Source organism: Homo sapiens, chromosome 18, assembly GCF_000001405.40.
Source record: "Homo sapiens chromosome 18, GRCh38.p14 Primary Assembly".
NCBI lineage: Eukaryota > Metazoa > Chordata > Mammalia > Primates > Hominidae > Homo > Homo sapiens.
Genome location: NC_000018.10, coordinates 49691628 through 49708558, shown reverse-complemented (window position 1 = coordinate 49708558; position 16931 = coordinate 49691628). Strand labels below are relative to the sequence as shown.

At 46.2% G+C, this 16931-nt stretch overlaps 1 long non-coding RNA gene across 2 annotated transcripts in view; it reads right to left on the bottom strand.

The window, feature by feature from the left end:
• The window catches only part of LOC105372112 (uncharacterized), a 127792-nt gene that overhangs the window by 31925 nt on the left and 78936 nt on the right, over positions 1 to 16931 (bottom strand). For both annotated transcript variants that reach the window (XR_007066363.1, XR_007066364.1), the window contains exon 3: positions 8202 to 8555. This is a non-coding gene — a long non-coding RNA (uncharacterized LOC105372112). The remainder of the gene's footprint in view (positions 1 to 8201; positions 8556 to 16931) is intronic.

The window sequence follows — 16931 nt, the reverse complement described above, 5'->3', positions numbered from 1 at the left end:
GATGTGCCAGACACTTTGCAGGGTTCTAGGTTAATGGGAGAGAGAAAATATCAACACTGGACCCCACTTGGATGGACTAAGTGCTCTCGAGGTGCTGAAGAGGCCCAGAGGAGGGAGTTTCTAGCTGCCCAGGGGAGCCAAGAAAGACTGTACAAGGAGACAGGGCCTCAGCAGGGTCTTGAAGAGCAGATAAAACATTAGCCAGGGGCCACGTGCAATGGCTCATGTCTTTAATCCCAGCACTTTGGGAGCCCAAGGCAGGCAGATCACTTGAGGTTAGGAGTTCGAGACTCTCCTGACCTATGGTAGAACCCTATCTCTACTAAAAATACAATAATTAGCCAGGTGTGGTGGTGCACACCTGTAATCCCAGCTACTGGGGAGGCTGAAGGAGGAGAATCGCTTGAACCGGGGAGGCGGAGGCTGTGGTGAGCCGAGCTCGCGCCACTGCACTCCAGCCTGGGTGACCACTTGCCAGACAGAAAAGATGGCAGTTCACTAGGCCACTTACCTCAACATTATACCAAGTGCTGGGTGACTTGATTCTGGGCTACAGACATCATAGGAGCTGGGGGCATCAGATTTTCCCATAAAGACCTCACCTTTTGCCTTTCTGGTGGGTAGTAAACGCTAGAGCTTGCAGTGCCCACCAGCTTAGCAAAGGGCCATTCATTCAGCCTCTCCTCAATCCCACTGTGAAACAGGCCTGTGTATATGCAGCTCAGTGAAGCTCTAGCAGTAACTGCAGGGCAGAAGCTGGCTGGCTCCCAACTGACAACTTGATTTCTCTGCTAATGCCTTACCTCCCGCTACATAAAAATTTCCCTCCTAGACACAAGTTGAAAATAATATACTGATAGCTACTTAGTAACCTCAGTAAGAATTAAAACTGAGGTCATTTACTAATTTTGGAGAAAGAACTTACCTGTAAATCTTTTATCCTCTTTCGGTGAAGGTTTCCATTTAGGAAAAAAGTGTCAAACAATCCCTGATTTTTTTTTTGTATCATTTTCATTATTACACCAAATAAATGTTGGGAGTTGCCAGAAAAAAAAAAGATGACAGAAGAAATAGCAGGGTAAAAGCCCACAAAGGTGGGCCCTGGAAGCTTCTTTAATTGAATTACAACCATAGTAAGATTGTGAGTAAGTTGCTCTCTGAGGGCACTTTCCCCAGCCAGGAACCCCCCACCATAATGATCTGTGCCTTCTGGGAACCCAAAGGGGAACTTAAATGTTTATCTTTAATAAACACCACTTTACCCCAGGAGGCTGAGCTAGGCTTTGAAAACAGTAAAATAGGAAAGGGTGTTACAGGTGAGCAATATTCAGCTTGAATTCCAGTTTGATCAAAATATGTAAAAATGTGTTATTTCAAGAATGAGTCATAGCACCAAAATGGCTTGAGCTTTTTAGTCTGAGAGATTGCAAATTTTAGCTGAGAAGTCTCAATGTTCACTCTGAATTGGGCTGCATCTTACAAATGTCTCCTCTCTGGATCAGAAAGCAGCTACTAGAGCTGACTAGAGATGGGGACGAGTGGGCATTGAGAAAAAACTATGGGCTCACTCTGTAAACAAGGAACCCAATAAAGTAAAGACAGCCAGACCACCCACCCACCTTTAGCAAGTCTCTTTAAACCATGTGGATTCATCAACAGCTGTTCAGGGGCATTTCCAGAAACTGCTTCAAGGTCAAGCAGTCTGAGATGAGCGGGTGGCTATTGATGACACCACCATCTAGAGCCACTCCACACAGTGGAAGGCACAAAACATCATGTTTGTTGAAAACCAGAAACATTTCAAGAGGTAAGATGGATGTATAAAGGTTTTCCAGATATTCCATTACATTTTTCTCTATTGCTGAAATCTTTTTTTTTTTTTTTTTTGAAATGAAGCCTCGCTCTGTCACCCAGACTGGAGTGCAGCGGCACGATCTCGGCTCACTGCAACCTTTACCTCCCGGGTTCAAGCAATTCTCCTGCCTCAGCCTCCCAAGTAGCTGGGACTACAAGTGCACACCACCACACCTGGCTAAATTATTTTTTGTATTTTTAGTAGAGATGGGGTTTCATCGTGTTAGCCAGGATGGTATCGATCTCCTGACCTCGTGATCCACCTGCCTCGGCCTCCCAAAGTGCTGGAATTACAGGCGTGAGCCACCGTGCCTGGCCTGCTGAAATCTTTTAAATATTACTAAAAATTTACGGATCCACATGAAATATGCTCACCATCATTAATTGCTAGGGAAATGCAAATCGAAGCCACAATAAGGTACCACCTCACATCCATTAGGATGGCTGTAACCAAAGAAACAGAAAATAACAAGTGTTGACGAAGATGTGGGAAAATTGGGGCCCTAGTGTATTGCTGGTGGGTATGCAAAATGGAGCAGCTACTGTGGGAGCTAGTATTCTGGCTCCTCAAAAAAATTTAACATAGATTACCATATGATCAGCAATCCCACTTCTGGGTATGTTCCTCCAAAAAATCGGAAACGGGACTCAAACAGCTATTTGCACACCGTGGTTCATAGCAGCATTATTCACAATAGCCAAAGGTGGAAACAACCCAAATGCCCATCAATAGAGGTGGGTATAAACAAAGTGTGGAATATCCACACAGTGGAATATTATTCAGCCTTCAAAAAGAAGGAAATTCTGGCACATGCTACGACATGGATGAACCTTGAAAACACTTTATTAAGTGAAGTAAGCGAGACACAAAAGGACAAATACTATGATTCCACTTACATGAGATACCTAGAGCAGTCACATTCCTAGAGGCAGAAAACAGAACGGTGGTTGCCAGGGGGCTGGTGGGAGAAAGGGGAATGAGGAGTTAGTGTTTAATGGATACAGAACTTCAGTTTGGGAAGATGAAAATGCTCTAGAGATGGGTAGTGGTGATAATAGCACAACATTGTGAATGTACTTAATGCCACTGAACTGTTCACTTAGAAATGGTTCAGATGGGCTGGGCGCGGTGGTTCATGCCTGTGATCCCACTTTGGGAGGCTGAGGTGGGCAGATCATCTGAGGTCAGGAGTTCGAGACCAGCCTAGCCAACATGGTGAAACCCCCTCTCTACTAAAAATACAAAAATTAGCCAGGCGTGGTGGCGGGCACCTATAATCCCAGCTACTTGGGAGGCTGAGGCAGGAGAATCACTTGAACCTGGGAGATGGAGGTTGCAGCGAGCCAATATCGTGCCACTGCACTCCAGCCTGGGTGGCAGAGTCAGACTCCGTTTCAGAAAAAAAAAAAAAAAAGAAAAGAAATGGTTCAGATGGTAAATTTTTATGTTATATATGTTTTACTATAATTGGCCAGATGTGGTGGCTCATGCCTGTAATCCCAGCACTTTGCAGGGCTGAGGCAGGTGGATCACTTAAGGCCAGGAGTTTGAGACCAGCCTGGCCAACATGGTGAAACTCCATCTCCACCAAAAATAAAAAATTACAAAGATTTTTTAAAAAAATACAAGAAAACTGAAAAATATGGCGTATTTGTCATTCAGAAGCAAAAAAAAAATTGAAAAAGTACATAAAAGAAAAATTCACAGATATCTTGGAAAGTTAATTATAAAATATTCAAACAATATAGATAAAGCAAAAGTCCTTCTTGATTACGCCATGCCCTCAACGTAACCATTATCTTCAGTTTGAGGCATACCCCATAGATAGCTCATATGCATTTCCAATAGTGGATATATCTGTGCGGAATTCACATATTTCTGTTTTGTATTCAACTTTTACATAATTGTTGTCATATTGAGCACTGTGGCCAATCAGATTAAACTCTATTTCTCATACTAGATTGATTTCTGGCTTTCCCTCTGGGCTGACCATTTCTTCCTCTCCTTCGTGGTTTCCCACGTCCTCCCTGCCTGATGATTCTGGGCCAAGAGAACCTCCCCTTGCTTTAATTCCTAACATTTTGGAAGAATGCAGGAATTTAGAAAGTGTCTGGCGTGGCCTCAAAGTAGCACATGACCGCCTTCACCCACATGATGCCCCACAGCCCCCGGGCTTATCTCTCATTGGACCATGCCCACTCAATCATGAGCTTACTGCACAGTTCCCAGCACCCAGCACAGCACTCAGCACATACAGGTACTAGGAAAGGACTTTTTAAAACAAAGCAATCAAACCAAAGCACTTGATTAGTGCTTTCCTGGTAAATCTCTGAGTCTCTGCCAAGCACTTAAAGGCTCCTGGCAGAGACGGATGCCTGCCTGGCTTCTCTCTTTTATACCTGGCAGCACAAGTCTGTTTTTTTTTTCATTTCAGTCAAATGTTTGGAAAATCTGCAACCTAGCGCCCCTACCCAGTCTGCTGCCCATACTACTGTGGCCCCTTTCCCGGAGAAGCAGCTCCCAGGGGACAGGTCCTCAGGGTGCTTGTCTTCAGCGAGCCCCAGGTGGGAGCCAGCCCCGCAAAAAGACAATCTGAAGATTAAAGAACAAAACTGGGAGTGGAGAGGAGAGTGTTGGGCTTTGTGAAGGCTCATTAATTGGAGCACAACCAGCCCTGCTGGGTGAGGATATAGCAAACGTGAAACTAAGGAACTCTTGCTTTGCAGCCACTGGAAAATAGAAGACGGAGTTCTCATGCTATTTGACAGCAAAAGGGTAAAGGGGTTTTCACCTGTACCTTTCCAGAAACCTCCAGTGCCTCTCCCCAGCTGGGTGACTGAACACTAGCAAGACAGGAATTGGGCTCAATATTGGTCACAGGTCTCTGGAGAGACCCTCACAGGACTAGATTTGGTGAGAATTTTTTTTTTTTTTTTTTTTTGAGACAGGGTCTCACTCTGTTACCCAGGCTGGAGTGTAATGGCACCATCATGGTTCACTGCAGACTTGACCTCCTGGGCTCAAGCAATCCTCCCACCTCAGCTTCCAGAGTAGCTGGGACTACAGACAAGTGTCACCATGCCTGACTGATTTTTGTATTTTTTGTAGAGACGGGGTTTCACCATGTTACCTAGGCTGGTCTCAGACTCCTGGGCTCAAGCGATCCACCCTCCTCGGCCCCACAAATTGCTGGGACTGGGCCAGGCACAGTGGCTCACGCCTGTAATCCCAGCATTTTGGTAGGCCAAGGTGGGCAGATCACTTGAGGTCAGGAGTTCAAGACCAGCCTGACCAATATGGTGAAACCCTGTCTCTACTAAAAATACAAAAATTAGCCAGGAGCGGTAGTGGGCACTTGTAATCCCAGCCACTCGGGAGGCTGAGGCAGGAGAATCGCTTGAACGCTAGAGGTGGAGGTTGCAGTGAGCAGAGATCGCGCCATTGCACTCCAGCCTGGGCGACAGAGTGAGACTCCCTCTCAAAAAAAAAAAAAAAAAGTGCTGGGACTGAAAGAGTGAGCCACTGTGCCCAGCCTGGTGAGAATTTTTGTGCTTTTTAAGCTAGTTCTCTAAGATGAAAAAATCTGTTGGCATTTTCTTTCTTTTACAACTTTACTGAGGTATAATTAACTTACAATAAACTGCACATATTTAAAAATACAATTTGATATGTTTTGATATTTGTATGCACCCATGAAACCACATCTTAATCAAGGTGTAAAACAGTTTCCATCACTCCTAAAATTTCTTAATACCCCTTTGTAATTTTTCCCTTCCTCCCCACCCCATCCCTAGGCAATCAATGGTCTGGTTTTTGTCGCTGTAGGTTAGTTGGAATTTTCTAGAATTTTATATAAATAAAATAAAAAATGTTTTGCCTTTTTTTTTGATAGAGTCTTATTCTGTCGCCCAGGCTAGAGTGCAGTGGTGTGATCTCAGCTCACTGCAACCTCTGCCTCCCACGTTTAAGCAATTTTCTTGCCTCAGCCTCCCGAGTAGCTGGGATTACAGGCGTGTGCCACCACGCCAAGCTAATTTTTGTATTTTTAGTAAAGATGAGGTTTCAACATGTTGGCCAAGCTGATCTTGAACTCCTGACCTCAAGCAATCTGCCCACCTTGGCCTCCCAAAGTGCTGGGATTATAGGCATGAGCCACCACACCCAGCTAATTTTTATTTCTTATTTTTTGTAGAGATGTATGTTGCTCAGGCTGGTCTTGAACTCCTGGTCTTAACTCCTGTCTTGGCCTCCCAAAGCGCTGGGATTACAGGCGTGAGCCACCACGCCTGGCCTGGTCTGACTTGTTTCACTTCAGCATCATGATTCTGAGGTTCATCCATGTTGCTGCACACATCCATAGTTCATCCATCCCCTTTCATTTCATTGGTTCTTTTTCATTCCATTGTACAAACATACCACAATTTGTCTATCCATTTATCTGTGATGGACATTCGGGTTGCTTCCAGTTTGGAGCTATTACCAAAATGGCTGCAACGAACATTTGTGTACAAGTGTTTGTGTGGACATATGTTTTAATTTCTCTTGGGTAAACACGTAGGAGTAGGATGGCTGGGCCACGTTCACGGGTTTTTAAATAGGCCCTGGGCTAGGCATGGTGGCTCATGCCTGTAATCTCAAAACTTTGGGAGGCCAAGACAGGAGGACCACTTGAGGCCAGGAGTTCAAGACCAGCCTGGCCAACATATGTCTCTACAAAAAATAAAAATAAATAAAAATAAACAGGGTGTGGTGGTATGCACCTGTAGTCCTAGCTATTTGAGAGGCTGAGGCAGAAGGATCCCTTGAGCCCAGGAGTTTGAGGCTTCAGTGAGCTATGATTGTGCCCCTGCACCCCTCTAGCCTGGGCGAAACAGCAAGACCCTGTCTCATACAAAACACAACAGGCCCAAAAGAGCCCTGGGCTTTCTGCCTAGACTGAGGAAGGAGCGTGGAGCCTGATGTTCCAGTTCCCATTTCAAACACAGCAGCAGCTCCAAGAGGATCCTCAGATATTTGCTTCCTCTGTCAGCTTTTCTTGAAGAAAGGTTTCCACAGTCAAGAAAAGAAAAGTTTGAAAGTCGAATTCTCCTTCTTACTCTCCCCAGCCCCATCATTTTATAGATGATGAAAACCAAGGTTGCCATAGCCCATGGCCAAGGTTAGTGGACTAGATGCTAAGCCTGCACTTCCCAGGCCTGGGTTCAGGCCCGTGACCATGGCCTCTTCAAGTCATCATTTTCAGCTTCTGGGGAGTGAAGAAGCTGCTGGAAGTATCAGGCTGGCATCAGATAGAATCATGTCTCAAATATGTAGACATTTCCTTTAGAAGCCCATGAAGCCGGACAGAGCAGACAATTGAGGCCAAGGGGTCAGGAAGGCACTGCCAGGGGACGTTCCAGAGCTGCAAAGTGGTCTTCCAGGAGTCCCAGTGGACCCACTCCCCGCTCCGCTAGCATACATCTGAGCCAAACAGTGCTGGAGGGGACAGGTAATCAGGCCTGTCTTTTGCCCTCCAGGAGAGGGAGAGAGTGAAGGATTCTCAGGGCCCAGCCTCATCTCACTGCTCCTACAAGGAAAATGAAAGGCTCTTCCTCCAGGCCCTCCAGCCTGGCAGGCTCCTAGGCACTACATCCTGAGGACAGGGGATGAGCTAGTTTGCCTCAGTTTACCCAGCTGTTTGAGGTGAGTTGCAGCATGGTGGCCTCCAGGTTTGGCCCCTCTGAGCTCCCCTTTCCTGGGTCCACGCTGTCACTCCCCTAACTCCTCCGGCCTAAGCCCAGGAGGAAGCCCTGACTTGTCTTTGCGGAAGTCACTCCATCCATCCCGGCTTCGTACCCCTAATCCTGGCTGCGCATCTCTTTGCTGGAGCTCCATTTCCCCTCCGAGGGCCCCTTTCTTGATCCAGACATAAGGCTCCTCCACAGCGGCCTGCTCTCTGGCTCCCTAGCAAATTGAGCAGCTGCTAACTACACACATCCCTTGGTCCCACCTCAACAGCTGACCCACCATGAACCTCTGAGTTAGGGACCCCAGAGCCTGCCTTTTTAATAAGATCCCCAGGTGATCCTGATGCCTTTAAGAGTTAGGGGACCCTGGTTGCTTCTGTCTTTGGCCAGCATTGGCATTTTCATGAGAGAACGAGAAAGACAAAATGGCTCGAGCAGACAGAAGTCTGTCAGGGCAGAGCTTCAGTCAGCTCGCTGGGTGAGCGGAGGTGTGGTGAACTGGCTGCATGCGTGACCTGAAACCCAGCACGTGTGGCCAGGGCTGAGAGGCCAGCCCCGGGTTCCAACACCCTGGGTTCAGGCAGCAGCTCAGCGTGGTGAAAACTGAGCCATGTCCTTACCTGGGAAGCTGTGTCTCCAACCTGGGAGTCAACTCCACTTTGTATTTTTCTCTAAGTCTGGTGACAAGGATTTCCTAATTTTGTATAGCACGTGTACTTTTTACCAGCAGTGCTTCATTGTATCTCCCCAGAATGAGGTATTATATCTCCACTTGACAGGCATGGAAACTGAGATGCAGGGAGGCAAAAGTCACAGATGACGATGAGGCCATGGGGTGGGTGGCGATGCCTGGGGACAGGCCCCGGTCTGTGGGTTGAAGGCTGGAGTTTTGGCTCTGCTATTACCAGGAAAAGGCGGTCTCTTTCACTCCCCAAAATCATCTTCGGCTCCAAGGACCCTTCTTCCCAAGACACCTGAAAAACAACAAAGGGACTTTTTACTTGCTTTCTTAACAGACTGTCCATGACAAAGGCTGGCAGAAAATTTTGTTGTTATTCCAAAAAAGACGGGAAACAACCAGCAGCGGTTCCATTGCCGATGTCGAGAATTTGCTGGTTATAGAACTCATGACTGATGCTCATCTGAATATTTTGCCAAATAATTATAACTCAAAACTTATTTCCTGAATGACACTAAAGAAATATGGAGTGAGGAAGGGGGAGCATCAGGCCAGTCTGTTTTTTCCCTATGTGGAAGCAGGCTTATCCTTGGCTTGTAGAAATCAATTATTCAACTAGAATTTCATTTCATTTTGACATATATTTATTGAGTACATATATTTACTATGTGCCAGGAAATGTATTAGAAACTCTCAGGAATAAAACATGTTATGCCCTAGTCCCTGCTCTCAAGAGGTTACAGATGAGGCAGAAGAGAGAGGTGAGGTCACACGAGATATGCAGGTTCGAACTTGATCTTGAGAGCAATAGGAAGACCCGGAAAGGCTTATACCGGAGATGGCCTGGCCACAGTTCTGTTGCTGAGTACAACCCGGGAGTCAGGCTCTAGCAAGACAGGACCAAATGAGGCACATGTGTGAGAGAGGTACAAGCCATCTGATGTGACAGTCAAGATGTTAGCCTGGGCCGGGTGCAGTGGCTCACACCCATAATCCCAGCACTTTGGGAGGCTGAGGTGGGTGGATCACCTGAGGTCAGGAGTTCGAGACCAGCCTGGACAACATGGCAAAACCCTGTCTCTACTAAAAATACAAAAATTAGCTGGGCATGCTGGCGCATGCCTGTAATCCCAGCTATTTGGGAGGCTGAGGCAGGAGAATCATTTGAACCCAGGATGTGGAGGTTGCAGTGAGCTGAGATCACGCCACTGCACTCCATCCTAGGTGACAGAGCCAGACTCCATTTCAAAAAAAAAAGAAAAAGAAAAAAATGTTAGCCTGATTAATTCTCATTGGAGGATTCAGAGAAGGCTTCCTGGAGAGGGTGGCATTGAAGCTGAGCCTTGAAGGGCATGGCGGTTTGGATGCACAGAGGGGAAGAAGGCAAGCTTAGAGGCCTGAAGTGGAAGACCAGCCTTGCAAACAAGCGGTCCAGCAGACTGGTCTGCTGGGGGTGGGGAGAGAGGAGGAGGAGGAAGAGGAGGAGGAGGAGGAGGAGGTTAGGACAGGACTGCACAGTGCTAATAGCATGCTGAGGATCTGTGGTTTTTTGTGTAGGGAGAGGTGTGCTTGAAGCTGAAGCTTGTGCATGCCCCCAGCAGGGTTCTGGCACCTGGCAAGCCACCCAGGTAACACCTGTGCATTACTTACTTGAAGGGGTTCGGGAAAACTGATCCTTGCTCCTTCCCACACTCAGGCCCTTCCTCGGGTCATCTCTGAGGGGAGCAGAGCACCAAGGGCCACTAAGCTGCAAGCTTTCCACATCCCTACCCCCTTCACTCAGGAAGATCAGGTTACCCAGGGTGCAGAACTTGGCAGTAATGAATATTTATTGAATGAATAAAGGAATATATAAATGAATGAATAAATACATAATTGAAAACCTCAAAGGGAAGTCACAAAAGGATTATGTGTGTGTGTGTGTGTGTGTGTGTCTGTGAGTAAGGAAGGAGGTACAGTCCTATCCTTTGTCTTGGCATGTGGGCCTGGGAATGCTTCAGAGGGAGGGAGAGCAGGCTCTGACTGAGCAGAAGCTTCGGGGTCATTCCCCAGCAGCTCCATCTCCATTTGTGCTTTTCCCATACACAGTTCCCCACCGCCAATCTCCACACACAAGGCCAAGTCTGGATTCCCTGACACTGGCAAACACTCCATCCCGGCCCTGGGACTGAGCCACATTCCAAGGCTGTGAGGACTCTGATGTCTCTCACATGGGCAGCAAGGGACTCGCTGGAAAGCCATCCAGGTCTCTCCAGCCATTAGTGCTATTTTTCCCTACAATCTACTTCCTGCTGAGTCCCTGTGTGAGTCCCAGCCAGAATCTCAGCCCACCCAAGCCATGCCAGTTCCTCCCTCATTTCCCTAAACTCACCAAGCCCAGTCCATGCAAGCTGGCTTTACTGCAGGCTGAGGACAGAGGGCCACGCCGCCCCCTTCCACAGGTTCCTTTCTAATCTCACACTCGCACTTCACAGCCTCAGAAGGCAGCAGAGGGCAGCTGTTCCCATGCAATCAGGCAGGACCAGAGAGGAACCCCAGATCCTTTCTCATCCTCTCAGAACCTCATCTGTAAATGGGAATGGTGATTACTTACCTCACAGGATTAGAAGGACCTAATGGCAATATCCTACAAGAGAAGTGGTTACCAATTTAGTCCACAAACACTGATTTTTCCCTATCTTTTCCTTTAAGTTAACTCAATTCTGACTCCCAGTTTCTGCTCTAGATGCAGCAATCTGGAAAGAACATTGCCCACACCTTTACAACAACAAAAAAGCTGGAAAACCTGCAAGTTTAGAGCTCTCATTGAAGCCATCAGAGAGCTCAGGTTCAATCAACTATCCTGAAATCTAAGAAGAGACAGGTGCCCACAAGAAGAGATGGGACGTGAACACTGGTGCACCTGGGGCCCCGCAGATGCACAGCAGTAAGGATTCAACTGGAATACTTAATGAACTGGTAGGGATAGAGTGTGGGATTCAGCTGGAATACTTAATGAACTGGTAGGGATGGAGTGTGGGATTCAGCTGGAATACTTAATGAACTGGTAGGGATGGAGTGTGGGTGGGCAAGAAAGTGGGAAGTCTGAAGCAAGAGTTTGCACCCTTTTCCAGGCTTTCCCCCATGACCCCAGGCGGGTGGGGGAGGGTACGAGAATGCATCCCTCATGATACAGGCCTGAGGGACTGGGACAGCAGCCACAGCAGGAGGGACACAAAACCCCACCCAGATGTCTCTCTCCCAACTCCCCTATGGATAAAAGCTTTGATCTCTAGAGGAAAGGGCAACACCATTGCCATGAAGGCACCAGTGGAAACCCTTTAGACCTGGAGTAAGGGATGAGAAAGAACCTGTACCCTGGGGGAGGAGCAGGAATATGTTCCAGGCCCAGAACTACACACTAGCTCCACACCACAGCCATCAACAGAACAGAAGAGCTTCTACAGAACCAGATACAACACAGACACTGAAACTACCTGACAGGGAACTTAAAACAATCATGATGAATATATTAAAGGCTCTGATGGAAAAGAAGGACAATATGCAAGATTAGAAAGGTCCTTTCAGCAAAAATATAGAAACTATATGAAAGAATCTATGGAAATGCTGGAAATGAAAACACAGTAACAGAAATAATGTCTGCAATGAGCTCATTAATAGAATTGACACAGCTGAGGAAAGAATCAGTTAAAGATAGTGCTATAGAAATTACCCAAACTGAAACACAAAGAAAAGACTGAGGGAAAAACAGAGAACAGAACATCCGAAAGCTTCAGGACAATATTAAAGATCCTAATATACATGTAATTACAGTCCAAGAAATACATGAAAAAAGAGAATAAGATAGGAGAAATATTTGAAGAAATGATGGCTGAGAATTTTCCAATAATCATGACAGACACTAAGCCACAGATCCGTAAAGCTCAGTGAATACCAGGTTAAATAACACCAGAAAATACACATACATATACACATCTAGGCATACCATATTATGACTGCTGAAAATAAAAAAGAGAATATCTTGAAAATAAAAAAAAATGTAGAATGAAAAAACACATTATATACAGAGGAACAAAGAATTATAGCAGATCTCTTGTCAGGAGCCATGCAAGTCAGAAGATGATAGAGTGACAGCTTTAAAACACTGAAAGAAAAAAGAAACAAACTGTCAACCCAGTAATCTATACCCAGTGAAAATCACTTCCAAAATAAAGGAAAGATAAAGACTTTCTCAGACAAAAACAGAGAATTCATTGTCAGCAGACCTCACAACACAAGAAATTTTAAAAGAAGTTATTCAGGTACAGGAACGTGATACGGAAATAAAACTTGAATTTGCATAAAGAAATGTAGGTTAGGCGTGGTGGCTCACGCCTGTAATCCCAAGAGTTTGGGAAGCTGAGGCAGGAGAATCAATTGAGGCCAGGAGTTTGAGGCTGCAGTGAGCCATGATTACACCACTGTACTCCAACCTGGACAACAGAGCAAGGCCCTGTCTCCAAAAAGAAAAGAAAAGAAAGAAAGAAAGAAAAAAGCAAAGTAATGGAAACAAAATAATTAATGGTAAAATAAAATTCTTTCTAAAAATGCTTACTCTGCTCACCCCTATAATCCCAGCACTTTGGGAGGCCAAGGCTGGAAGGTTGCTTGAGTCCAGAAGTTCAAGACCAGCCTGGATAACAAAGTGAGACCTCCATCTCTACAAAAATAAAAAAGTTAGCTGGGCACAGTGGCACGCACCTGTGGTCCCAGCTACTTGGGAGACTGAGACAGAGGGATCGCTGTGTCCCAGAGGTCAAGGCTGCAGTGAGCTGCTTTCAGACCACTGCACTCCAGCCTGGGTGACAGAGTGAGACCCTGTCTTAAAAAAAATTCTCATTAAAACTAAATCAGAAATTTTAAATAATAAAAGCCAACTTCTGCTGTCTATATCAAATATCTCCTTAAAAACTCTTGTGTTTCTTTGTCCACTTTTCTTTGGGGTCTGCTGATGGGTTGGCCTGGCATGGCAGGGTCCCATGCCTTCTTCCCCAGAGCTTACTTTCCTCAGACAGTCCTTACAGTAACCTGGCAGCCTAGGAGAAGCCCAAAGCAAGCATGTGCCCCTCCACTGGAATCCATACAGTAATTGTTTAAATTAATATCTTCCAAAAGATTTCAAACTCCTAACAGCCAGATCGCGGGCCACCCCACACCCATCTCTGCAGCTTTATTCATTCATTTCTTTTTCACCAAGCCTGGACTAACTACCAAAATTGGTGCTTGGGATCCAACTGGGCACGCATATGATCTCTGCCCTCATGGACCTGACAGTACAGGACGAGATGCACATTAATCAAATAATCACACAAACACACAAACACATAATCAATAACTATGGTGATAAGTCCTGTGAAGGAGAAGACCAGCTCAGCATGAGAATATGTAGCAGGGAACTGGCTCTAGCCAGGATGATCTAACACAAACATCCCCCACCATGTCCCATGTGTCTCTGGCCTGGATGGCCTTCTCTGCTTCTTTCCACCCATCCTAATCCTATTTGTCCAAGTCAGGTCATTTCCCCTCCATAAATCCTGATAGTTTGGCCTTGGGAATCTCTTCCCCCTCTTTCCCCTTTGAGCAGGACCACTCCTTTGGATCTTAAGGACTGTGGGAACTTCCTGACAAAAGGGTGCCATGCATTCACTCTTTGATCACTAAGTGTTGACAGACACAATATTTTTAAAAGATAACCAAAGACTTCTCCAGACTCATAAATGAGATTAACATCTTTGTGGACAAGCAATAGGAGCACAGAGGGGTGAACAGAGCTGAAGCTGCAGCCTGCTGGGCTTCAGGTCTGGAGACAGGCGGTGGAAGCTGGGGAAAGGAGGACAAAAGGAGCTCTATTCAAGATAGTAGAAGGGACCAGAGACACCCTCAGTACCTGAAGGCAGGCAGCGGAGTAGGGCTCCCTTCTTACCCATGAAATTAGGCTGACCAACCTCTGCCAAGAGCCAGGAATTTCTAAAAGCTGTAGATGTAAGAGACTGGAGAACAAGACATTGCTTTGCGACCAGAAGCTGAGACCAGCTACCCTTTGCCTCTGCATCCAGATCCACAGAACCCTCAAATCCCCACAGGGCAGGACACTCTCAACTGCCATTCAAGGATCCAGTTCTGTACTGGGGACCCAGACGGTTGAGTGGTGACCGTTACAAAACTGCTTGTTAAGGGAGAATGTGTACAGAGAAAAAAGACAGAATAAATGAAAAAGCAAGTACTCCAAGCCTCAAAATAAGCCTGTACATCAGAATTCCAAAACACATGGAGAAGCCCAGTGCTTACAAAGACAGTTCACAGATTTAATATTCAAAATACTAATTTACTCCAGATGAAATTAATTTTATAGAACCGTCTGACAAAGACTTCGATCAATATGCTTAGGGTGTTAAAGATATAAATGAAGGCATAACTTACGCAATCTAGAGGTTGTACAAGCAAAGTGTGTGACCTGAAACAAATCTCTAGTTTTGTACTCCCACTGTAAACTTTACTTGACTCCCAAATAAACTTTGAATTGAACGACTTTATTTGGTCCCTTCTTAGTTCCTGCCTCTCCCTGCTGCCTGGAATGCAGCTGTGCCATTAACCAAGAGGATGGGGACACTCCCTAGAGATGGTGGAGGGCTTAGAGGAAGGAGCCCAAGTCCCAGAGGGCTCCGTGGGAGAGAGAGGCCCCATCAGCCCTGGACTTTTTGGCTTGTCTTGAGGGTTTTAGTCACAACTGAACTTAATCCCAATTATATACACAGAGCAGTGCTATCTTTTTACGTGCATATATCTGTTTTCTTAGCTGGATTATATGGCCCTTGAGGGAGAAAGTGGTGTCTTAGAACTTTTTGGTATCTGCTTAATATCTGGCTTTGTAATACTTGGTTTTCACAATGGCATAGTCTAGGACCAAAATCTAGTGAGTGTATCTTACATGTTGGCTTTGTAAAAGTTGTAGAAACTTCGTGTCTATATCCTAAATCCCCAGCGACTGCCATAGGTTGGATTCATCTTTGTCAATCACAGACTCCAGGTCTAAATTTAGAACGAGTGTGCAATGTCTGGAAGCCTAATTCATTTTGGACACAGCTCAGCGCTGTCAGAAACTCTTCACGAGTCTGCTCTCCTCCACCCTAATTCACACCTTTTTTTGTTAATCCTCTGCTTCCTGCCTGGGACCCTGGGGACCCCCAGAAATAAACAGCTTAACTTGCACTGAAAACCCGTCTGCAATGTGTTGTTGTTGTTAACCAAGTGTGTCATCTAGCAGAGAAAACGCATCTATTTCATGATTTAAAATGTATACACATACTGGCGGTTTCACAGAATTCTCACCATTCAAGCTCATTCCTTTTATTCCTGGCTACTCACTCATTTCTTGGGCCTCATCCCCAGAGTGGCCTAAGAGGTGGCTGTTTCTGGTCTTGCTATGATAGATGAAGGGAGCAGTGCTTGCAGAAGTGCTGTGACTTCCTTAGGTGCTGGAGGGGGATGTGGAGGCTTGGACGCTGGAATTTTTGGTAGAACAGTTGAGGTAGGATTTGGGGAACATCATAATAGAATTTAGTTTTTTGAGAGGGAGTTTATCTTTTTAGAAAGCACAGATAGAACCCAATATGCCCTAGACCAGGGGTCAGGTAACTTTTTCCATTAAAGGCCAGATAATAAATATTGTAGGTTTTGTGGGCCGTATGGTTTCATTACAACTACTCAACCCTGCCATTGCAGCATGAAAGCACAATGAGTGTGGCTGTGTTCCAATAAAACTTTATTTGCAAAAAAGAGGCCAGAATAGGCCCACAGGCTGTAGTTAGCAGGCCCCTGCCATGTATCTCTGCCACGTATCACCTTGAGGACTCTTCTACAGGGGAATGGCAGTTTCTCCTTCCTTTGCCCAAGCCAGTACTCTGGGTCTGCCGTGCCACTCCATAGTCCCCACGGAGGCCTCACAGCTGGAAGAGGCTGCTGACAGGCAAAAGCCTCACCTGCCACAGCCCCAGGCCAAGTTTGTCCTTGCCAACATCTCCCTCTCTGTCCAGGGATGTCCAGTTATTTCTTGAAGGCCTCTTGGCTGCAGGCTCCCCAGCATGCCCTTCAGGGCCCAGCCAGGATGCCCACCAATTCCTGTGCTCTAGGACTGTGAGACCTCCTTGTCCCTTCCCCCACTGAAATCGACATGTTAGGAGGAAAGGTAACTCAGGCACCTAATCACCCTAAGGGGTGGTGCACCTGCCATACATCCATGCACTACTGATGCAATGGAACAAAGCTTCAGGCCTTCCAATGGCAAGAGAACCAGGTACATGGTGACCTAGAGTGTCTATGCACAAGGCTGGTTAACCTAACCCATCATAGGAGATGGTCTTGGGGCTGGGCTGCCCTGCCTTGCCTCCAAGTACATAACAGAGGCTCCCCTCAGGCTGGAACTCATTTAATGGTCCAGCTAGTGGTGACTTGGCCCAGGGGGGCTCCTGGTCAGTTTCCCATAAGGGCTCTTCCCAGAAAGGACATTGATATCTTCTGTTTGTCTGCCTATGGCGCCACTAGCAAAGGTATATGTACTACTGACCACGTGTCATAAGAACAGACTTGTTAGTTCTCTAAACTTTTGCATCCCTCAAAGAGCCGCTTGATCAGC